At 44.4% G+C, this 25142-nt stretch overlaps 1 protein-coding gene and 1 pseudogene across 33 annotated transcripts in view; both read left to right on the top strand.

Moving 5' to 3' along the window:
* CCDC125 (coiled-coil domain containing 125) overlaps window positions 1-25142 on the top strand; it is a 59763-nt gene that overhangs the window by 13101 nt on the left and 21520 nt on the right. For 14 of the 33 annotated variants that reach the window (XM_047416901.1, XM_047416899.1, XM_047416900.1 and 11 more), the window contains 7 exons: window positions 5658-5716; window positions 8497-8583; window positions 11673-11750; window positions 12799-12884; window positions 15772-15854; window positions 19574-19689; window positions 24801-24908. In XM_047416901.1, coding sequence (XP_047272857.1) covers window positions 5658-5716; window positions 8497-8583; window positions 11673-11750; window positions 12799-12884; window positions 15772-15854; window positions 19574-19689; window positions 24801-24908 — 617 coding nt within the window. Of the gene's footprint in view, window positions 1-5654; window positions 5717-8496; window positions 8584-11672; window positions 11751-12798; window positions 12885-15771; window positions 15855-19573; window positions 19690-24800; window positions 24909-25142 lie in introns of those variants that run through there. The other 19 variants (XM_011543258.3, XM_017009207.2, XM_011543259.3 and 16 more) reach the window with 5 other exon arrangements.
* CFL1P5 (cofilin 1 pseudogene 5) lies at window positions 5748-6883 on the top strand (annotated as a pseudogene).

The raw sequence follows: 25142 nt of genomic DNA, 5'->3' as shown, positions 1-25142 counted from the left end.
GACCATCCTGGCCAACATGGTGAAACCCTGTCTCTACTAAATATACAAAAAATTAGCCGGGCGTGGTAGCAGGTTCCTGTAGTCCCAGCTACTCGGGAGGCTGAGGCAGGAGAATGGCATGAACCCGGGAGGCGGAGCTTGCAGTGAGCCAAAATGGCACCACTGCACTCCAGCCTGGGCGACAGAGCAAGACTCCATCTCAAAAAAAAAAAAAAAAAGTAGTCGATGTTTATATTTCTAAATATTGTACAGTACAGTAGTTATGCATCTAATATATTAATGATATCTATAAATGATTACCAACCTTGCCTTTTTTGTGAAGTACTTTTTTTTGCAGTCAAATATTTACTGGGCATCATTAGGTGTCAGGCACAGGTCCAATTTCTGAGAATAATGTCAGTAAACAAAATAGACAAAGGCCCTAATGTCATGGATTTCACATTCTAATAGAGGAGATAGAAAATAAACCTGCAGGCCGGGTACAGTGGCTCATGCCTGTAATCCCAGCACTTTGGGAGGCTGAGGCGGATGGATCACTTGAGGTCAGGAGCTTGAGACCAGCCTGGCCAACATGGCAAAACCCCATCTCTACTAAAAGTATAAAAATTAGCTGGGTGTGGTGGCACGTGCTTGTAGTCCCAGCTACTCGGGAGGCCGAGGCACAAGAATTGCTTGAACCCGGGAGGTGGAGCCAAAATTGTACCACTGCACTCCAGCCTGGGCAACAGAGCAAGACTTTGTCTCAAAAAAAAAAAAAGAAAAAAAACCAAAACCCTGCAAATCAACAGATGTGTAACATTGGGCAGTGGTAAGTGAAGGGATAGTGAGTGATTATGGGGAATGGGGTGCTAGTATTTCAGGCCAGGGTTAGGAAGGCTTCTGTAAGGAGGTGACATTTTTTTTCTTTTTACTTTTCTTTTTATTTTTTATTTTTATTTATTTATTATGAGGTGGAGTCTCACTCTTGTCGCCCAGGCTAGAGTGCAGTGTCACAATCTCGGCTCACTGCAACCTCCGCCTCCTGGGTTCAAGGTATTCTACTGCCTCAGCCTCCTGAGTAGCTGGGATTACAGGTGCCCGCCCCCATGCCTGGCTAATTTTTTTTTTTTTTTGTATTTTTAGTAGAGATGGGGTTTCACCACGTTGGCCAGGTTGGTTTCAAACTCCTGACCTCAAGTGATCCGCCCACCTCAGCCTCCCAAAATGCTGGGATTACAGGCATGAGCCACCGTGCCTGGCCTTTTTCTTTTTTAAAAAGAGACAGTCTCACTGTGTCACTAAGGTGGAGTGCAGTAGCATGATCACAGCTCACTGCAACCTCAAAGTCCTGGGCTTAAGCAATCCTCTTGCCTCAGTCTCCTGAGTAGCTGAGACTACAGGCATGTTCCACCATATCCGGCTAATTTAAAAGAAATTTTTTCGGCCAGGTGCTGTGGCTCACGCCTGTAATCCCAGCACTTTGGGAGGCTGAGGCGGGTGGATCATGAGGTCAGGAGTTTCAGACCAGCCTGACCAACATGGTGAAACCCCATCTGTACTAAAAATACAAAAATTAGCCAGGCATGGTGGCGTGCACCTGTAATCCCAGCTACTCAGGAGGCTGAGGCAGGAGAATCACGTGAACCTGGGAGGCGGAAGTTGCAGTGAGCCGAGATCGCACCACTGCGCTCCAGCCTGGCGACAGAGCAAGACTCAGTCTCAAAAAAAAAAAAAAAAAAAAAAAAAAATTCTAGAGACAAGGTCTCACTATGTTACCCAGGCTGGTCTCAAACTCCTGACCTCAAGCAGTCCTCCCACCTTGGCCTGAGCACCAGAATGAAGGGGAGAGTAAGGCAGTGGATCTTTGGGAAAGGAGTGTTCCAGGAAGAACAGAGATGCTTCTGGTTATTTTAGGAGGTCATGAAACTCTCAAAAATTGTCAAAACAGTTAGTCTTAATTTATCATAACCAAAAAGAAATTATACCTTACCTTATGGAAATAATAAAATTTAGCATCGTATTTTGATAAAATGTTACAACTCCAAAATGATCGGGAGTCTGTGGATAAGCCCATGCCTGTACCATGGCACCAGCTGTTATCTGGCTAAATATTTTGTAATCTATGTTGTAAAACTTCCTCTTCTGAAACTTCCCCTCAAAGTTGAACAAACACAAATTAGAACAACATGAGAGTGATTTAAGAAACATGGTTTCAGATTTACAAAAATACGTGGTAGCTCGTGGTAGCTCAGGGTTCATCCCCATCCTTCAACATCCCTCTTGAAATCAGAATGGGATTATTTTTATATTTTTCTTCCAATTCCTTATTGTGTATAGAGAATGGATACTGTTTTGAAAGCAAAATGTTGGAAACTGAGCATGATGCTAAGATGCCTTTATAAAAACATGAAGATGCCAGGTGCGGTGGCTCATGCCTGTAATCCCAGCACTTTGGGAGACTGGGGTGGGTGGATCATGAGGTCAGGAGTTTGAGACCAGCCTGGCCAAGATGGTGAAACCCCGTCTCTACTAAAAATACAAAAAAATTAGCTGGGCATGGTGGCAGGTGCCTGTAATCCCAGCTACTTGGGAGGCTGAGGCAGGAGAATCACTTGAACCTGGGAGGCGGAGGTTGCAGTGAGCCAAGATCACACCACTGCACTCTAGCCTGGGCAACAGAGCAAGACTCCATCTCAAACAAACAAACAAACAGCATGAAGAAACACTGGGGTATAAATAAGATTTAAATAGTAATAGTATGAGTTCCCATTTTGTTGGGTTATGAACTTTTCTTTTTATTAAAGTTGGCCCTATCACTAATAGATAATTTCCAAAATACCACACATTTAATGGCTTAAAACAACACAAATTTATTATTTTACAGTTCTGTAGGTCAGAAGTCCCAAACAGGCTACGTCTGGTAGCTGATGCCTATAATCCCAGCATTTTGGGAGGCCGAGGTGGGAGAATCACTTGAGGCCAGGAGTTCGACACCAGCCTGGTCAACATAGAAAGACCACACTCCACAAAAAAAAGTTTAAAAATTAGCAGGTGTAGTAGTGTGCACCTGTAGTCCCAGCTACTTGAGAAGCTGATGCAGGAGCACTGCAGCCTGAGCAATAAAGCAAGACCCTCTCTCTGTGGGAAAAAAAGTCCCAAATAAATTTCAGTGGGCTAAAGCCAGGGTGTTGGCAGGGTGCGTTCCTTCTGGAGGTTCAGTGGGAAGACTCTACTCCTTTGCCTTTTCTAGCTCCAGAGGCTACTGCATTCCTTGGCTCATGGCCCCCTCCCCATCTTCAAAGCCAACGATGGCTGAGTCTTTCTCACATCATATCACTCTAACATTTACCTTCTCGTCTCCCTCTTTCATGTATAAGGACTCTTATGAGTACACTGGACTCACTTGGATAATCCAGAGTACTCTCCCATCTCAAAATCCTTAATCTCATCACATCTGCAAAGTTCCTTTTGCCATGTGTTCACAGCTTCTGGGAATTGGCATGTGGACATCATATTCTGCCTACCACAAGTATTAATAGAACAGAACTTGTCACTGCCAACCCAGAGTCACTCTGCCCTCCTTGGAAGCCTGTATCATCAATCACAGTACAAACATGATTTAGGTTTTGCCTTAGATACTGTCATGTTAATGAAATTTCAGAATAGCAAAGAAAGTTGTTTTGAGAAATATTTTTTCAAAGCAAACATTCTTCTCAATAAAATTTTTTTTTTACTTCCTATACTCTTGCTTATAACTTGCCACTTTAATTTTTTTTTTTTTTTTTTTTTTTACTGCCGTTGAGGCAGAAAGGAAAATGAAGCTCTTAGGAAGCTCAATTTAAATTCTCAGTTGATCACATTAAGGAGCAAATAATTGAAGTTACAGGACTCTTCTAGTCATTCTTTTTGGAAAGAAATTAAATTTAGGTTTTTTTTTGGTTTCTTTTTTTTTTTTTTTTTTGAGACGGAGTTTTGCTCTTGTTGCCCAGGCTGGAGTGCAATGGTGCGATCACAGTGTGCACTGCAACCTTTGACTCCCGGGTTCAAGCGATTCTCATGCCTCAGCCTCCTGAGTAGCAGGGATTACAGGCGCCCGCCACCATGCCCGGCTAATTTTTGTATTTGTTAGTAGAGATGGAGTTTCACCATGTAGGCCAGGCTGGTCTAGAACTCCTGATCTCAGATGATCCACCCTCCTCAGCCTCCCAAGGTGCTAGGATTACAGGTGTGAGCCACCACACCTGGCCTTTTTTTTTTTTGTTTTTTTTTTTGTTTTTTTTTTTTGAGACAGAATCTCGCTCTGTTACCTAGGCTGGATTTTTAGTAGAGACAGGGTTTCACCATGTAGACAGGCTGGTCTTAAACTCCTGACCTCAGGTGATCTGCCTGCCTCAGCCTCCCAAAGTGCTGGGATTACAGGTGTAAGCCACCGTGCCCAGCCTTCAGGTTATTTTTTTTATTTTTTCGAGACAGAGCCTTGCTCTGTCTCCCAGGCTGGAGTCTAATGGTGCAATCTCAGCTCACTGCAACCTCCGCCTCCTGGGTTCAAGCAATTCTCCTGCCTCAGCCTCTTGAGTAGCTGAGACTACAGGCAGGCACCACCATGCCCAGCTAATTTTTGTGTTTTTAGTAGAGATGGGGTTTCACCATGTTGGCCAAGCTGGCCTTGAACTCCTTACCTCAAGTGATCCACCCGCCTTGGCCTCCGAAAGTGCTGGGATTACAGGTGTGAGCCACTGTGCCTGGCCAAAGTTATTTCTTACATATTTATACCACTACATCATTCAAGCTTAAGCCAAAACACCAAAATCTATTTATTTTACTCACCAATATTCATGTTTTTCTTTATTTTTGTTTGAATGCAGTAATTAACCAACTCATTAACATCAGTTTTATTTTAGAGTCCTTTTTTGTTTTTTTTAGATAGTCTTGCTCTGTTGCTCAAGCTGGAGTATAGTGGTACAGTCATAGCTCGCTGCAGCCTCGAACTCCTGGACTTAAGTGATCCTCCCAACTCAGTCTCCCACGTAACTGGGACTCCGGCACATCACCACATCTAGCTAATTTTTTATTTTATATTTTGTAGAGACGGAGGTCTGTGTTGCCTAGGCTTGTTTCTAACTCCTGGCCTCAAGCGAGCCTTAGAGTCTATTCAAAAAATTTTTTTATTCAAAAGTACAGTATATGTCTTTTCATTTGTGAAATGTTTTACACTCCTATTTTTACCATAATTTGGTCTGTTATAATTTTTTTTTTTTTGAAACAGAGTTACTCTATCACCCAGGCTGGAATACAGTGGCACGATCTCCGCTCACTGCAACCTCCATGTCCCGGGTTCAAGTGATTCTCCTGCCTCAGCCTCTCAAGTAACTGGGACTACAGGCAGGCACCACCACGCCCAGCTAATTTTTGTATTTTTAGTAGAGACAGGGTTTTACCATGTTGGCCAGGCTGGCCTTGAACTCCTGACCTCAAGTGATCTGCCCGCCTCGGCCTCCCAGAGTGCTGGGATTACAGATGTGAGCCACCGCACCTGGTGTTCTATTATAATTCTCTTCTCTTTGCAATTTAGGGGATACCTGTATTTGGTAATTTGTAAACAAATGTCCTATGTTTAATTAGTTAAAATATTCAAAATTTTTCCCCTAATAGATTCTTTTCTCCTCCCTCCCAAGTAGATTCGAATTCAGAATTGTCAAATGAAGAATTAAGGCAATGTCTTAATGAAACTTTAGAGGTAGGTACTCTGGCTAATATAAAAATTATCAGTTTAGCTGGGTCCCAGCAGCGGCTGCAGTGCTCTCGTCTTCTGCAGCTCTCCATGCCCTCTCCTTTTTGCTTCTGGAAACATGGCCTCTGTTGTGGCTGTCTCTGATGGTGTCATCAAGGTGTTCAACGACATGAAGTTGTGTAAGTCTTCAACACCAGAGAAGTTGAAGAAGCGCAAGAAGGCGGTGCTCTTCCGCCTGAGTGAAGACAAGAAGAACATCATCCTGAAGGGGAGGGCAAGGAGATACTGGTGGGCAATGTGGACCAGACCATCGACAACCCCTATGCCACCTTTGTCAAGATGCTACCGGATAAGGATTGCCTCTACGCCCTCTATGACGCAACCTATGAGACCAAGAGAGCAAGAAGGAGGACCTGGTGTTTATCTTCTGGGCCACTGAGTCTGTGCCCCTTAAGAGCAAAATGATCAATGCCAGCTCCAAGGACGCCATCAACAAGAAGCTGACAGGAATCAAGCAAGAATTACAAGCAAACTACTATGAGGAGGTCAAGGACCACTGCACCCTGGCAGAGAAGCTGGGGGGCAGTGCCATCATCTCCCTGGAGGGCAAGCCTTTGTGAGCCCCTTCTGGCCACCTGCCTAGAGCATCTGGCAGCCCCACACCTGTCCTCGGGGGTTGCAGGCTGCCCCCTTCCTGCCAGATAGGAGGGGCTGGGGGAATCCCAGCAGGGGAAGGGCAATCCCTTCACCCCAGTTGCCAAACAGACCTCCCACCCCCTGGATTTTCCTCCTCCCTCCATCCCTGATGGTTCTGGCCTTCCGAAACTGCTTTTGATCTTCTGATTCCTCTTGGGTTGAAGAAGACCAAGTTCCCCCCAGGCACCCCAGTTATGGGGGGGCCTGTATTTTCTTTAACAACACCCCCACTCCCCACCTGTTCCTCCCCCTCTTCCCTTGCTGCTGACTTGTAACTGCAATAGTGACTCTGTGCTTGTCTGTTTAGTTCTGTATATAAATGGAATGTTGTGGAGATGACCCCTCCCTGTGCTGGCTGGTTCCTCTCCCTTTTCCCCTGGTCACTGCTACTCATGGAAGCAGGACCAGTAAGAGACTTTCGATTACAAAAAAAAAATTCTCAAGTGAATAAAGTCCATTGATAGATATTTTGTTTAAATGGTACCAAATCTGTGTGGAAGGCAAATTTTGGCTTTCCAGACATTCTTGCTGAACTTGAGAGCTCATCTTTTTCAACTGGCCTCCTCTGTTTCTTATCCACCTCATCTCTTAAAAGAAGCTACTTATGTAAACATGCCCACCGGTTCTCCTTTCCACCCCACTTCTCTTATCTCCTCCTTGAGAAAGTAAGTTATCACTTCCTTCCACCGGCCTTCCCCGTATGTGTGGCTTCAAACAATCTGACTTAATTTAACCTCATTAAAGTCAGAAGCCCAGAGTCTCAGGTGGCCTGAGTAGCCCACTGCCTTGGTGGAAATAGCAGTTTCTGCGAGGGGTGTCTGTCCTTTGGGAAATAGGAAGCCCACCTTACTGTGTGTTTGGGACTCTTCCCGTGAAAGCTACTGTATTTGGCTGCCGAGACAATGTACCACAAACTGGTGGCTTAAAACAGCAGAAATCTGTTTGCTTTTAGTTCTGGAGGCTGAAGTTTGAAACCAGAGTTTCAGCAGGCCGTGCTCCCTCTGAAGGCTTTAGAGGAGAGTCCTTTGCCTCTTCCTAGCTTCTGATGCTTGCTGCAATCCTTGGTGTTCCTTGGCTGGTAGCTGCAGAAATCCAGCCTCTGCCTGTCACATGGCCTTCTCCCTATGAGTCTGGGTCCAAATTTCCCTCAATTTATAAGGACACTAGTCATTGGATTGGGGCCTGCAGCTGCCTCCTCACCTTGAGTCCCTACATAAGGAACTACAACCTCAGTATGTAAACAACATGAAAGCCAACTGAGGCTGGGGGCAGTGGCTCATGCCTGTAATCCCAGCACTTTGGGAGGCCAAGGCAGGTGGATCATTTGAGGTCAGGAGTTCGAGACCAGCCTGGCCAATATAGTGAAACTCCGTCTCTACTAAAAATACAAAAATTAGCTGGGCAGTAGTGGCACATGCCTGCAATCCCAGCTACTCGGGAGGCTGAGGCAGGAGAATTGCTTGAGCCTGTGAGGCAGAGGTTGCAGTGAGCTGAGACCACGCCACTGCACTCCAGCCTGGGTGACAGAGTGAGACTCTGTCTCAGAGACCTTCCTGGTTCAAGCAATTCTCATGCCTCAGCCTCCGGAGTAGCTGGGATTACAGGTGTGAGCCACCATGCCCAGCTATTTTTTATTTTTTTAATTGAGACAGAGTCTTGCTGTCACCCAGACTGGAGTGCAGTGGCTCAGCCTCGGCTCACTGCAACCTCCGCCTCCCGGGTTCAAGCGATTCTCCTGTCTCAGCCTCCAGAGTAGCTAGGATTACAGGCATGCACCACCACGCCCAGCAATTTTTTTGTATGTTTAGTAGAGACGGGGTTTCACCATGTTAGCCAGGCTGGTCGTGAACTCCTGACCTCAGGTGATCCACCCACCTTGGCCTCCCAAAATGCAGGGATTACAGGTCACACCACCTTGCCCGGCCGAGGCTTTCAATTTTAGTATGTCTGGTTCACTCACTAAGTCTAGAAGAATTTTCAGCCACATTTGTAAGTGGTTTGAGCCAAGGGTAAATGTAGACTAGCCAAACTGATAATTTTAGGGTTGCATATCTTGCAGATAGGAAGACTAATTTTCTTTCTGTCCTCAGGAGGTAGAAATGTTAAAAACTGAACTTGAGGCATCTCAAAGACAACTCAGAGGTAAAGAGGAAGCATTGAAAATTCTTCAAAGCATGGTAAGAAGTTGTTTTTAAACTTTCACCATTTACACATTCCAATAATAATGTTGGTATGGTTTTAACTTTTAAAACCAAGGCAGAAGGACTTAATATAGTTGAGGGTTTTTTTAGGTATGTATATTTTTAAGAGCTTTATAATTTATATATCCTGAAGTTCACATGTAAATGTACACTACAATTCATTTTTACTAGATATAAGAGTTGTACCACCATCATTATAATCTAATTTTAGAATATTTCCAACACCAGAAAAGGGACTTGGTGCCCATCAGCAGTCATTCCTCATTCCCACCCCTATCCCCAGTAATCTATTTTCTGTTTGTAGATTTGCCTTTTCTATTTAATATAAATAGAATCATAAGATATGTGACTGGATTCTTTTGCATTGAGATTCTTTTAGTTAGCATGTTTTAGAGGTTCATACATGTCGTAGCGTGTATCAGTACTTTCTTCCTTTTTATTGCCAAGTAATACTCCATTGTGTAGATGCACCATGTTTTGCTTATGCATTCACCAGTTGATGGACATTTGGGTGGTGTATTAGTCCATTTTTATGCTGCTGATAAAGACATACCCAAGACTGGGGGAAAAAAAGAGGTTTAATTGGACTTACAGTTCCACATGGCTGTGAAGGCCTCAGAATCATGGTGGGAGGTGAAAGGCAGTTCCTACGTGGCAGCAGCAAGAGAAAATGAGGAAGATTCAAAAGTGGAAACCTCTGATAAAACCATCAGATCTCATGAAACTTATTCACATACCAGAACAGTATGGGGGAACCACCCCCATGATCCAAACTATCTCCCACTGGGTCCCTCTCACAACACGTGGGAATTATGGGAATACAATTCAAGATGAGATTTGGGTGAGGACACAGAGCCAAACCATATCATTCCACTCCAGCCCCTCCAAATCTCATGTCCTCACATTTCAAAACCAATCATGCCTTCCCAACAGTCCCCCAAAGTCTGAAATCATTTCAGCATTAACCCAAAAATCCACAGTCCAAAGTCTCATCTGAGACAAGGCAAGTCCCTTCTGCCTATGAGCTGGTAAAATCAAAAGCAAGCTAGTTACTTCCTACATACAATGGGGATGTAGGTATATAGCCATTCCAAATGGGAGAAATTGGCCAAAACAAAGGGGTTACTGGGCTCATGCAAATCCAAAATCCAGCAGGGCAGTCAAATTTTAAAGCTCCAAAATGATCTCCTTTGACTCCAGGTCTCACATCCAGGTCATACTGATGCAAGAGGTGGGTTCCCATGGCCTTGGGCAGCTCCGCCCCTGTGGCTTTGCAGAGTACAGCCTCCCTCCTGGCTGCTTTCACAGGCTGGCATTGAGTGTCTGCGGCTTTCCCAGGTGCACAGTGTAAGCCATGGGTGGATCTACCATTCTGGGGTCTGGAGGATGGTGGCCCTCTTCTCATAGCTCCACTAGGCAGTGCTGTAGTAGGGACTCTGTGTGGGGGCTCCAACCCCACATTTCCCTTCTGTAGTGCCCTAGCCCCGGTTCTCCATGAGAGCCCCATCCCTGCAGGAAACTTCTGCCTGGACATCCAGGCATTGCCATACATCTTCTGAAATCTAGTGGAGGTTCCCAAACCCCGATTCTTTACTTCTGTGCACCTGCAGGCTCAACATCATGTGGAAGCTGCCAAGGCTTGGGGCTTGCACCCTCTATATTCACAGACGGAGCTGTACCTTGGCCCCTTTCAGCCACCGCTGGAGTGGCTGGGACGCAGGGCACCAAGTCCTTAGACTGCACACAGCACGGGGACCCTGGGCCCTGCCCACGAAACCATTTTTTCCTCCGAGACTTCTGGCTCTGTGATGAGAGAGGCTGCTGCAAAGGTCTCTGACATGCCCTGGAGACATTTTCCCCATTATCTTGGGGATTAACATTTGGCTCCTCATTACTTATGCAAATATCTGCAGCTAGCTTGAATTTATCCTTAGAAAATGGGATTTTCTTTTCTATTGCATTGTCAGGCTGCAAATTTTCTGAACTTTTATGCTGTGCTTCCCTTTTAAAATGGAATGCCTTTAACAGTACCCAAGCCATCTCTTGAATGCTTTGCTGCTTAGAAATTTCTTCCACCAGATACTCTAAATCATCTCTCTCAAGTTCAAAGTTCCACAGATCTCTAGGGCAGGGGCAAAATGCCACAAATCTCTTTGCTAAAACATAACAAGAGTCACCTTTACTCTAGTTCCCAACAAGTTCCTCATCTCCATCTGAGACCGCCTCAGCCTGGATTTCATTGTCCATATCATTATCAGTGTTTTTGTGAAAGACACTCAACAAGTCTCTAGAAAGTTCCAATCTTTCCCACATTTTCCTGTCTTCTTCTGAGCCCTCCAAACTGTCCCAATCTCTGCCTGTTACCCAGTTTCAAAGTAGCTTCCACATTTTTGGGTATCTTTTCAGCAATGCCCCACTCTACTGGTACCAAATTACTGTATTAGTCCATTTTTATGCTCCTGATAAAGACATACCCAAGACTGGGAAGAAAAAGAGGTTTAATTGGACTTACAGTTCCACATGGCTGGGGAGGTCTCAGAATCATGGTGGGAGGCGAAAGGCACTTATAACATGGCAGCAGCAAGAGAAAATGAGAGAGATGCAAAAGCAGAACCCCTGATAAAATCAACAGATCTCTTGAGACTTATTCACTACCATGAGAACAGTATGGGGAAAACCACCCCCATGATTCAGATTATCTCCCACCGGGTCCTCTCACAACATGTGGTAATTATGAGAGTACAATTCAAAATGAGATTTGGGTGGGGACACAGAGCCAAACCGTATCAGATGGTTTCCACTTTTTGACTGATGAATAGTACTGTTCTGAACACTTTCTTTGTGTGGAAAATTCATCCATTAATTCCCACATTCATTGGAAAAGAGCCAAACCAAGATCTCCTGACTTTTGAACTATCAGACTCTCCATAAAAGGTGGTCACTGTGAAATTCTTATGTCAATTCATCTTAATTTTCCATTGCCTTAAAATAAAAGAGAACTTCATGATGTACATAGGAGTGATTACAAATTTAATTTATACTGATGCTAGTTTTATTTTTCTTAGGCAATACTGGGCAAAGCCACAAGTCATACGCAGGCAGTGCTTCAAAAAACTATGGAACAAAACAGATCCTTGGAGAAGGTATTTGGTGCTTTTAGTGTAGACTTATTGAATCCAATAAGCTGTTAAATATAATTTCCCTAAACTCACCATACTAATGGATCTGTCACTTGTGCCTACCTTCTGCTAGGTGTGCTTCAGTTCTGATGGTCTTCCCTTTTGGAGTTTACAATCTAAAACAGATTGTCATGTGCACAATGAATTCAGGTTATTTTTATTTCCCCATGTTAAGGTAGTAGGAGGCCTGCCAAATTGGTACTTCTCATTTCTTCTTCTTTTTTTTTTTTTTTGAGATGGAGTCCTGCTCTGTCGCCCAGGCTGGAGTGCAGTGGCGCGATCTCTACTCACTGCGAGCTCTGCCTCCCGGGTTCACGCCATTCTCCTGCCTCAGGCTCCCAAGTAGCTGGGATTACAGGTGCCCGCCACCACGCCCAGCCAATTTTTTGTATTTTTAGTAGAGACAGGATTTCACCATGTTAACCAGAATGGTCTCGATCTCCTGACCTTGTAATCCACCCACCTTGGCCTCCCAAAGTGCTGGGATTACAGGCGTGAGACACCGTGCCCAGCCCATTTTTCTTCTTAAAAAAAATTTTTTTTTTTAAATCCTTATCGTTGCCTGGCAGGACGTACGTCTTTCTGACCATCTCATCTTCACTATAAAGGTAGTTAGGAATCATCCTAGATGGTCATGTCTCCTGTGCTTGGTGTGTTCTCCCTTGATGGGACCATTGAGTTAAGATTTCCAGGAGTGGATTTTGCTTGAGGTCTCTACATGCAGCGGAGGTGGGCACTGAGAAATCTAGGTGTAGCAGCCCAGCAAATTTTGAAGGCAAACAATTTGAAATTTTTTCTATATTAAGTGAGTTTTGGCAGAGTTGTTTTGAATGCTAAAGAGGCATGTTATATGTGTTTGCAAATGTCAGAGATACTTTTAGAGCAATAATTAATTTTTTCTCTTTAAACCATTTCTGAGAACTGATTATATGATTTATTTCAGCTATTCACAATGTCCTGAAATGATTTATTTGTAGTAATTTGCCATGAAGGTACTATTTTCTTTCCATAGGAAATAAATGCCTTGCAGTGGGAAATAGAATTTGATCATAATAGATTTAAAAATATAGAGGAATCTTGGATCCAAAAATATGACAGGTTTGTATATTACTCCATTATTTTTCTTTGACAACCTTTAAAATCTATGTAATTCAAAAGTAATTTATGCTTTCTTCTTTGAGCCAAGTGCAAAATATTACAAAATTTTTATTGCTTATCCACTTACTAGTCGCATATTTTTGTTAGTGTTAATTTTCCTTAAAGAAAAAAAATAGCATAGGCTGGGTGTGGTGTCTCACACCTTTAATCCCAGCACTTTTGGGAATCTTTGGCACTTGGATCTGAGGATCACTTGAGTCCAGGAATTTGAGACCAGCCTGGGCAACATGTTGAAACCCTATCTCTACAAAAATACAAAAAGTAACTGGGTGTGGTGGCTTGCACCTGTAGCCCCAGCTACATGGGAAGCTGAGGTGTGAAGATCACTTGGGCCTGGGAGTTGGAGGCTGCAGTGAGCCATGATTGCGCCACTGCACTTCAGCCTGGATGATAGAGTGAGTCCGTGTCTCAAAAATAAAACAAAACAAAAAAACAAAAACCAAAATAGTATAAACTCTATCTTAAAATACAGTGTAAGAATTATTTTAGAATTGGAACTATTTGTTTTTTTCAAACAAAATCTTTTGAGGGGCTGGGCATGATGGCTCACACCTGTAATTTCAGCACTTTGGGAGCCTGAGGTGGGAGGACTGCTTTGGTTCAGGAGTTCAAAACCAGCCTAGATGACATAGCAAGATCCTCATCTTGTTAAAAAAAAAAAAGATGAAAAATAAGATGGTTAAGATGGTAAATGTTTATGTTCTGACAATCAGCTCCAAAAAGAGAAAAAATATCTTTGGAACAACTTTTATTTGTGTGAGTTTATTTAATAACTTTAAATTATACACTTACTATAAAGTCAGTCATTTCAGTTGGGTATGGTGGCTCACACAATCCTATCGTGGCCCCAATCCCTGTTGGACTGAACAAAGGGAGACGAACGTGGGAATAAAAATAAAGACAAAAGAGTATATTTGGAAGAAGGGGTCAGGGGGCTCCTTGCTCCAGTGAACAAGGGTCCTGAGCTTTTAGCACCCTTCGTATTTATTGAGTAAAGGAGATAGGGAGGAGGTGGTTGTCAGTCAGCTGCTTGACTCGGTGCAGGCTTGCACAACTGCATTCTCTGAACAGTAGTCTCCAGATGTTCCAGTAGATAACCTCAAGGAGCACGGCGCCAGAGAGTGACTGCCCTCAGCAAACCTTCTGGCGGCAGGTGCAGATGTGAGTTTGCCTACATCCTGCATTCATGATAAACAGTTTGCTGTTTGATCATATAGCCTCAGTGGAATGCTAAGTTGGTCACGATCCTCTGGCTTTCGGCTCTCTACATAATCCCAGCATTTTGGGAGGCTGAGGCAGGTGGATCACTTGAGGCCAGGAGTTCTAGACCAACCTGGCTAATGTGGCGAAACCCTGTCTCTACCAAAAATACAAAAATTAACTGGGCGTGGTGGCACACACCTGTATCCCAGCTACTCAGGAGACTGAGGCAGGAGAATCGCTTGAACCCAGGAGGTAGAGGCTACAGGGACCTGAGACTGGGCCACTGTACTCTAGCTTTGATGACAGAGCGAGACCTTGTATCCAAAAAGAAAAAAAAACCAGAAAGACTGAATAATATTCCATGTTATGTATGTACGCCATTTTGTTTATCCATTCATTCCTGATGGACACTTGAGTTAACTCTACCTTTTGGCTATTTTGCATGATGCTGCTATGAACATGGGTGTACCCTATGTATCTTTTTTTTCCATGAAATACTTTGTTGGTTTTTTTTTTTTTAGAGCAGTTGTAGATTCACAACAAAATTGATCAGAAGGTACGGAGATTTCCCATATACACAGCCTCCCCCACTGACAACATCCCCCACCAGAGTGGTACATTTTTTATAACCAATGTTGATACATCATTATTACCCGAAGTCCATAGTTTACATGAGGACCTGTGTATGTAAGTTTCTGAAGGTGACCTAAGCATATAGTTGAAATTCAAATGGTTATTAAGTAAAGAGAATGAGTATGCAAAATGGATGGTTTAAAAATATTTCTGGTTCTGATTATGTCTCAGCTAAGAAGGGTTAAGAGTATGTTTAGTCCAGGCGCAGTGGCTCACGCCTGTAATCCCAGCACTTTGGGAGGCCGAGGTGGGCAGATCACTTGAAGTCAGGAGTTTGAGATCAGCCCAGCCAACATGATGAAACCACTTCTCTACTAAAACACAAAAATTGGCCGGGCGTGGTGGCGGGCGCCTGTAATCCTAGCTACTCAGGAGGCTGAGGCAGGAGAATCACTTGAACCTGGGAGGCGGAGGTTGCACTGAGTCGAGATCACATGACTGCACTCCAGCCTAGGTAACAGAGCAAGACTCCGTCTCAAAAAGAAAAAAAAAAAAAAAGGGTATGTTTAAAATCCTGGCCGGGCATGATGGCTCACAACTGTAATCCCAGCACTTTGGGAGGCTGAGGCGGGCTGATCACTTGAGGTCAGGAGTTCGAGACCAGCCTGGCCAACATGGTGAAATCCCGTTTCTACTAAAAATACAAAAATTAGCCAAGTGTGGTGGCAGACACCTGTAATCCCAGCTACTTGGAAGGCTGAGGCAGGAGAATCACTTGAACCCAAGAGGTGGAGGTTGCAGTGAGCTGAGATTGTGCCACTGCACTTCAGCCTGGGCGACAGAGTGAGACTCCATTTCAAAAAAAAAAAAAAAAATTCTTACCACATTCCTTTAAATTGTTTTTATTTTTGTGATACGTGTAAATTCCAGACTATTTTGAAGTAGGAAAAACTATATTTAGATTTTTGTGTTCCAATTATGGCAATAAAAATATTCTCGCTCAGCAAGGAAATATTAATGTTTTAGTTATTTGAAAGCCACTTTTTTCCAGGCTAAACTGTGAAAATGCAGTCCTCAAAGAGAATTTGAAAGTGAAAACAGAAGAAATTAAAATGCTGAAGTCTGACAATGCAGGTAATGATGATTTTTGTATTAAGAGCACATGTATCAATAAAGATAACATGCTAGTATTTTGAAATAATATACATTAAGTATAATAGAGGGGAGAAATGTATCATTTAGGTTTTTTAAATTTAAGAAAATTTATCAAGGTGAAATTCACATAACATAAAACTATTTAAAAGTGAACAATTCCTGGCTGGGCACAGTAGCTCATTCTTGTAATCCCAGCACTTTGGGAGGCCAAGGTGGGCAGATCATCTGAGGTCAGGAGTTCAAGACCAGCCTGGCCAACATAATGAAACTCCATTTCTACCAAAAATACAAAAATTAGCGAGACATGGTGGTGCGCACCTGTAGTCCCAGCTACTCAGGAGGCTGAGGCAGGTGAATCGCTTTTACTCTGGAGGCCGAGGTTGCAGTGACCCAAGATTGTGCCTCTGCACTCCAGCCTGGACAACAGAGTGAGACTCCATCTCAAAAAAAAAAAAAAAAAAAAAGTGAACAATTCTTGCCAGGCACAGTGACTCATGCCTGTAATCCCAGAACTTTGGGAGGCCAAGGCAGGAGGATCACTTGAGCTTAGGAGTTTGAGACCAGCCTGGGCAACATAGCAAAACCTTGTTTCTATTAGAAACAAACAAACAAACAACAACAACAACAGAAAAACCAAAATTAGCCAGATGTGGTGGCACTGGCCTGTAGTCCCAGCTACTTGGGAGGTTGAAGTGGGAGGATTGCTGGAGCCCAGGAGGTTGAGGCTGCAGTGAGCCATGATTGTGCCACTGCACTGCAGCTTGGGTGACAGAGCGAAACTCGGTCTCGAAAAAATAAGTTAACAATTCAGTGGCATTCACAAAGTTGCCTAACCACCACCTCTGTCTAGTTCCAGACAGTTCCAGTACTCCAAAGTAAAATCTCCTACCTATTAAGCAATTTCTCCCCATTTTCTCCTTTTTATTTAGTTTTCACTTAAAGCAAAATGGTAGAGCACCTGATATTTGAAGAACCTAAGTAGAAATGATATATATGTGTGTATATAATTTATATGTTATATATCTCTTATATAATGGTCTACCTTACGATGAAAGTTGATGCAAGGATAATAAGATATTTAATGTTAACTTTTTTTTTTTTTGAGACAGAGTCTCACTTTATCGCCAGGCTGGAGTGCAGTGGTGCAATCTTAGCTCACTGCAACCTCCGCCTCCTGGGTTTAAGCAATTCTTCTGCCTCAGCCTCCTGAGTAGCTGGGACTACAGGTGCATGCCACCACACCCAGCTAATTTTTGTATTTTTAGTAGAGACAGGGGTTTCACCATGTTGGCCAGGATGGTCTCAATCTCCTGACCTCGTGATCCGCCCGCCTCAGCCTCCCAAAGTGCTGGGATTACAGGTGTGAGCCACCGCGACTGGCCTTTTTTTTTTTTTTTTTTTTTTTGAGATGGAGTCTCACTCTGTTGCCCAGGCTGGAGTGCTGTGACGCCATCTTGGCTTACTGCAACCTCCACCTCCCAGTTCAGGTGATCCTCCTGCCTCAGCCTCCCAAGAAGCTGGGACTACAGGTGCCTGCCACCACACCTGGCTAATTTTTGTATTTTTAGTAGAGGCAGGGTTTCACCATGTTGACCAGGCTGGTCTCAAACTCCTGACCTCAAATGATCCACCCACCTTGGCCTCCCAAAGTGCTGGGATTACAGGTGTGAATCACCATGTCCAAACTGATGTTAACTTTTTACATATTTTATTTATTTATTTGTTTATTTATTTATTTATTTTCACACAGGGTCTTGCTCTGTTGCCCAGTTTGGAGTGCAGTGACACAATCTCAGTTCACTGCAACCTCCACTTTCTGGGCTCAAGAGATCCTCCCACCTCAGCCTCCCAAGTTGTTGGTACTACAGGCATGTTCCACCATGTCCAGCTAATTAAAAAATATATTATTATTATTATTATTATTATTTTGAGACAGAATCTCACTCTGTCGCCCAGGCTGGAGTGCAGTGGCACAATCTTGGCTCACTGTGACCTCTGCCTCCCAGGTTCAAGTGATTCTCCTGCCTCCACTTCCTGAGTAGCTGGGATTGCAGACACCCACCACCATGCCCAGATTTCTTTTTTTTTTTTGAGACAGAGTCTCACTCTGTCACCCAGGCTAGAGTGCAATGGTGCAATCTCACCTCACTACAACCTCCTCCTCCCGAGTTCAAGGATTCTCCCGCCTTGGCCTACCACGTAGCTGGGATTATAGGCACCTGCCATCATTCCCAGCTAATATTTTTGTCTTTCTGTAGAGACGGGGTTTCACCATGTTGACAAGGCTGGTCTTGAACTCCTGACCTCAGGTGATCTGCTCGCCTTGGCCTCCCAAAGTGCAACATTAAAAAAAAAATTTTTGTAGACATGGGGGTGACTCACTTTGTGAGGGCTCAACTCCTGGGCTCAAGCAATCCTCCCACCTTGGCCTCCAAAAGTGCTGGGATTACAGGTGTGAGCCACTGCACCCAGCCCTAAAAATTTAGAGAAGAGGCTAGTTCTTCCTTCTTAGCAGAAATTAAAGAGGTGGCTTGAAGAGGACAAATCACAAGCCAGGCGCTGTTGCTCATGCCCGTAATGGCCAGTGCTATGGAAAGCCAAGGGGAGAGGATTGCTTGAGGCCAGGAGTCTGAGACCAATCTGGGCAACATAACGAGACTCTTCCTCTACAAAAAATAAACAAAAATTAGCCAGGCATGGTAGCATGCACCTGGTTTTTTTTTTTTTTTTTTGAGAGGGAGTCTTGCTCTGTCGCCCAGGCTAGAGTGCAATGGCGCAATCTCACCTCACTGCAACTTCCTGGCTGATTGGGAGGTTAAGGTGAGAGGATCCCTGGAGCCCAGGAGTTTGAAGTTGCAGTGAGCTATGATTGGACCACTGCACTCCAGCCTGAGTGACAGAGCAAGACTCTGTCTCTTACACAAAGAAAAGGAAGGAAAAAAAGAAGAAAAGAAAGGAAAAAAGAAGAAAAGGACAAAAAAAGCTCTAAATTAGGCCCTGGGGCTGAGAGCGGCACTTTATGCTGTGTCTTAGCTGAGTTGTATAAACGCCTCCAGCTGAGATCTGCACACACAGCTGGAGCTTCTCAGCACCAGGGACTCCAGCTGATAAAGATGTCTCCTGTGTGAGATAAGTTCAGGACAGAAGCTGCTCATGATCATAAGTCCTCCCCTTCTGTCCTACCACTCTACCCTGCAGTGACAGGGAAAAGATACTGTTTTCTGCTCTCCAGTAGACAGCAGGACCCCTCTCTAAATGTTTGGTTTGAGATCTTCTTGTGAAAACTCCTAATACAAAAACCTGATAGAGCTTGGATAGCTGGTATGTTTGATATGGATACAATATATGAGATCTCACCATCCAGTTTTCTCACTAACCATAAAGTCTCTGAATAATTTGCTTTTACATATTCCCTTTTGGAAAAATCCTACAAATTTTCCAAGAGGAAACAGGAATCCGACTTCAGTTGCAAAGTTAAGATGCTTTTCCATTAAAAATGACACCATCTCATCTAGTATTACATATATATGATCTTACGTGATACTCACTATTCTATCAGATAGGTTTTCTGAATGGAGCCCGATGTTGTGGGTAGTGTATTGCTTGTACGAAATGAATATGTCATGTTGGGGTAACTAGATTGGATGAGGGTGGAGTTAGGCTTCATAATGAATACTTTCTCATATGGCCCTTCCTAGTTTTGAATCAACGGTATTTGGAGGCCCTCGCCATGCTTGATATCAAACAGCAGAAGATGGCTCAGGAAAACATGTGCTGTGATAAAAGTGGCTTTGCAGAGGCTTCAGGTCTTGAGGTAGGTAAGCATGCAGGAAAGCTGAACAGAAGGGACATTTGCTACTTTCCTTTCTTTCTCCCATTGCCCTTGTGTACACATTGTAGGATAGCACATACTTAGCAATTTGAGGATGGGAGTGAGAGACGCCCCTGGGCCCAGGTTGGTTCTTCCAGTTCTGCTGGTTCCATGCCCTTCATACAGGACATTCTTGGACATGAGGGAATGTGCTGGCCACTTCTGCCCCGTTTATTTCTCATCTTTACAGTTCTAGCGGAAGCTGTGTTGGGTAATGTCTCACATGTGGGTCGGGGCTTACCGTTTGAGTGCTTTCATACAAATTGTTGTATCTGATCTTCATCGGAGTCTTGTGAGGGCTGCAAAGCAGATATTATCCCCATTTTAGAGAAGAGGAAACTAAGGCTCAAATTAGTTCAGTTACTTTCCTGAGGTGGCAAGGTCAATCTGTGGTAAAGCCAGGTTCAGAACAAAAATCTGCTGGTGCAATGCCAATGGCTGGCAATGTGGGAGTTTGGCTAATGAGGTCAGAAGGGGCCTCACAAAAAAATAATGGAGCAGTAGAGTGATAGGGGGCAGCCATGCACTTCTTGTAGAACTTAAGAAGGCCGGGCACGGTGGCTCACGCCTGTAATCCCAGCGCTTTGGGAAGCCGAGGCGGGCGGATCACAAGGTCAGGAGATCGAGACCATCCTGGCTAACATGGTGAAACCCTGTCTCTACTAAAAATACAAAAAATTAGCCAGGCGCGGTGGCGGGCGCCTGTAGTCCCAGCTACTTGGGAGGCTGAGGCAGGAGAATGGCGTGAACCCAGGAGGCGGAGCTTGCAGTGAGCCGAGATCGCGCCACTGCAGTCTGGCCTGGGCGAAAGAGCGAGACTCCGTCTCAAAAAAAAAAAAAAAAGAAAGAAAGAACTTAAGAAAAATTGGTAATAATAATAGCAAATACCTGCATAGTCCTGAGCAAGTTCAGATGATGTTCTAAGAACTTTACATACATTGACATATTTAGTCTACACAACTACCCCATAAAGTGGGTACTGTTAAAATCCCCACTTCACAAATGAGGTAACAGAGGCATTGCGGGGTTAGGTAATTTGCCTGGTGTCACACAGCTAGTGCGTGGTGGAGCTGGGATTTGCAGCCTGTAGACAGAGCTTAGAGTCTGTGCTTTTGAGCACCATGTTCTACTGCCATGGGTGGAAAACTAGTATAATAGCAAAAAGGAAAAATGCAAGAAACAGCTTAAAGAAAGTTTAGGGACAGGGTGTTTTATGATAGTCTCGAGTAGACTATGGGCCAGCCTTACCTCCAGCCAGGCAGGAACAAGGGCCCCGACACAGCTGGTGAGGGAGCACTGAGGTGAGGAAGTAGCACCGGGAGTCAGGGGTCCTGGCCGCAACCCGTTGTGATTGATATTGGCCCTTCCCAGGTCTTAGTTGCTTTTGGCAACCTAGGCATGGGAGATTATCAGGAGTAGGAAAATGAAAAGGGAAAAGACCTTTCTGCCACAGATCCACCATTTGTACATTCAGCTCAACTGAAAGCTCACTCCGTGCTTCACGGTTATCACTGATGTGAGAAAGAATGTTCCGAAATGGCCTTTACACTAAGGGAGGCAGTGGAATTTTCCTCTCTGAAAAGCCTCTTAAAAAGGATTGTATTTTATGTCAGCTCATCCATGTGAAAGTACAGCAACAGGGGCCGGGCGCGGTGGCTCACGCCTGTAATCCCAGCACTTTGGGAGGCCGAGGCGGGCGGATCACAAGGTCAGGAGATCAAGACCATCCTGGCCAACATGATGAAACCCCGTCTCTATTAAAAGTACAAAAATTAGCTGGGCGTAGTGGCGTATGCCTGTAATCCCAGCTACTCGGGAGGCTGAGGCAGGAGAATCGCTTGAACCCGGGAGGCAGAGGTTGCAGTGAGCCGGGATTGTGCCACTGCACTCCAGCCTGGTGACAGAGCGGGACTCCATCTCAAAAAAAAAAAAACTTTATTTTTAGTTTAATTTTATTTATTTTTTTGTTTTGTTTTGTTTTTGAGACAGGGCCTTACTCTGTAGCTCAGGCTGGAGTACAGTGGCACAATCATGGCTCACTGCAGCTTAGACCTCCTGGGCTCAAGTGATCCTCTGACCTCAGCCTCCCAGCCAAGTACCTGGGACTACGGGTGCACACCATTATCATACCCAGCTAATGTTTTTTTTTTATTTTTTGTAGAGACAGGGTCTCATGTTGCCCAGGCTGGTCTTGAACTCCTGGGCTCAAGCTATCTGCCTGCCTCAGCCTCCCAAAATGCTGGGATTACAGGCGTGAGCCACCATACCTAGCCCATATGAAACTTTAAAATATATGGGCCAGGTGCGGTGGCTAACGCCTGTAATCCCAGCACTTTGCGGGGGCTGAGGCAGGTGGATCACCTAAGGTTGGGAGTTTGAGACCAGCCTGACCAACACGGAGAAACCCTGTCTCCACTAAAATACAAAATTAGCTGGGCGTGGTGGTGTATGCCTGTAATCCCAGCTACTTGGGAGGCTGAGGCAGGAGAATTGCTTGAACCTGGGAGACAGTGGTTGTGGTGAGCTGTGATCTCGCCATTGCACTCTAGCCTGGGCAACGAGAGCAAAACTCTGTCTCAGAAAAATAAATAAATAAATAAATAAATATGGCACAGGCCAGCCGCAGTGGCTCACATCTATAATCCCAGCGCTTTGGGATGCCGAGGCAGGTGGATCATTTGCGGTCAGGAGTTCGAGACCAGCCTGACCACCATGGTGAAACCCCATCTCTACTAAAAATACAAAAAAAAATTAGCTGGGTGTGGTGGCATATGCCTGAAATCTCAGTTTGAACTTGGGAGGCAGAAGTTGCAGGGAGCCGAGATTGTACCACTGCACTCCAGCCTATGTGACAGAGCGAGACTCCGTCTCAAAAATAAATAAATAAGAATAAAATAAAATATATGGCACGCTATGTTGTGTAGATTGCCCCTGTGAAATTGGTACATACTGGAATATGTTGGGAAAGTATTTGTGGTTAGCTTTGTGTTTGAGACAGAGTCTTGCTCTGTTGCCCAGGCTGGAGTACAATGGTGCAATCTCAGTTCACTGCAACCTCTGCCTCCCGGGTTCAAGCGATTCTCCTGCCTCAGCCTCCCGAGTAGCTGGGATTACAGGCACCCACCACCATGCCCAGCTAATTTTTATATTTTTTAGTAGAGACAGGTTTCACCATGTTGGTTAGGCTGGTCTCGAACTTCTGAACTCAGGTGATCCACCTGCCTCGGCCTCCCAAAGTGCTGGGATTATAGGCATAAGACACCCTGCCTGGCCCACTTGTAGTTAGCTTTTAAAGTGGAGTTTTAAAAAGTAAAATTATTATACTACTTTTCTTCCAACTACAGTGGTCAACCAAGTATAAAAATAAAGGAATCAGAATCTAGTTTATTATTTATTTATTTTTGAGACAGAGTTTTGCTCTTGTTGCCCAGGCTGGAGTGCAAGGCATGATTTCAGCTCACTGCAACCTCTGCCTCCCAGGTTCAAGTGATTCTCCTACCTCAGCCTCCCAAGTAGCTGGGATTACAGGCATGAGCCACCACACCCAGCTAATTTTTGTATTTTCAGTAGAGATGGGATTTCACCATGTTGGTCCGGCTGGTTTCGAACTCCTGACTTCAGATCATCCACCTGCCTTGGCTTGCCAAAGTGCTGGGATTACAGGCATGAGCCACCGCGCCTGGCCAGAATCTAGTTTAAAGAGTTTATTCAAGTACAAAAGTTGAGGATGGATCACCCAAGGAGCCACAGATTCCAAAGAAGTCAGTGTTTTAGGCCGGGTGCGATGGCTCATGCCTGTAATCCCAGCACTTTGGGAGGCTGAGGCGGGCAGATCACGAGGTCAGGAGATCGAGACCATCCTGGCTAGCACGGTGAAACTCTGTCTCTACTTTAAAAATACAAAAAAATTAGCCGGGCGTGGTGGCGCCTGTAGTCCCAGCTACTCGGGAGGCTGAGGCAGGACAATGGCGTGAACCCAGGAGGCAGAGCTTGCAGTGAGCCGAGATCGCGCCACTGCACTCCAGCCTGGGTGACAGAGCGAGACTCCATCTCAAAAAAAAAAAAAAAGAAGTCAGTGTTCTAAAGTGTAGAAGTTTGTGCTGGCTTATATGGACAATGTTTAGGGAAGTATGGACAATGTTTAGGGAAGTTTAACAGAATTTCAACATCTTTTGATGGTATGGTTTAGTGCATAGTTACAGAGATATTAGTTGAGGTGATCGTTTTCTTTTGGGGAAGGTATATTTAACATTCCACACTGAAGATGTAACAGCCATGGGGTTCTTTTCGAAGTCATCTGCTCTGAGTTAGGTATAAGAAGATAAGACAGCTAATCTGTAACGGAGGTCAGTGATGGAAGCAGAAAGGTCTGGTCTCTGGTCTCTCCTCCTCATTTACAGAACAAGAGCAACGAGGAAGAGGGTTACTCTCTAATCTAGAAGCAGCATTTCAAACATGCTACCTGACTGAGTCTCCAGGGCTTAACTTCACCCTTGGCATAAGTTTGGATGGTGCTGAAGTTTTATTCTTTTACACAGGAATCAATCGTATTTTTTTATTTTTTTTAGGAGTGGAGGGATGACTGTTTTTCTCATTATATATTACAATTCCCTCGTCATTTCTGAGTAGATGACTCAGCTTAGAGGAAACTGGCAGTAGTGAATGCCGGGCATCAGGGCCACACTGTTACAGGAAAGGTATGCTGTGGATGTTAGCGTTAACCATATTGTTAGGCTAAACTCCTGCCAAGGACTCAGACCTATAGGAGAGTGGCGCCAGGATTAAAGGTTTTAAGAGTGAGATGAAGGAAGGTAAAATTCCCTTTTGTTTGTGTTCCAAGTCATGACATTCTTTTTGTCGTTTGTAGTTAATTTCTATTTGTATTCTGAGATCCCAGTCTCAGCTTTCTTCTATTTTGTTTTTCCTTTCCAGTTTTTTTGGATCAGATGCCTGAGTAGTAGTGTGCATGGGTATGTGTGTAAATGCCCCTGTGTTTGTGTGCAGCTAAAACAGTGTGACACTTAATAACAGGAGCAATGCTTTTCAATTTAAAGCTTGCGGTCCTCGGAGCCTGCCTTTGTCATGGGCCCGGAGGGAACCCCTGTTCTTGTGCCAGAATGGCAGCATCCACTCGGAAACTGCTTCTTCAGCTCAAACAAGAGGTATTGCGTTATCACAACAGCAAAAGCTTTAGTTTTGTTTCTCTGTTAATAGTAGAATAAATGGAAATGTTTGCAATAATTAACTTCATTTTAGTAGTTATTGCCTATGGAACTTATGCTTAGTTTTTATGTGATAGCATCAACTTATCAACTGGATTTTGTTTACCTGGTTCCAAAATACAAATATTAATAGTACTTGGGGCAGGGTGCGGTGGCTCACGCCTGTAATCCCAG

The sequence above is a fragment of the Homo sapiens genome, chromosome 5, assembly GCF_000001405.40.
Source record: "Homo sapiens chromosome 5, GRCh38.p14 Primary Assembly".
NCBI classification, from domain to species: Eukaryota; Metazoa; Chordata; class Mammalia; order Primates; family Hominidae; genus Homo; species Homo sapiens.
This window is presented reverse-complemented; position numbering and strand designations above follow the sequence as displayed.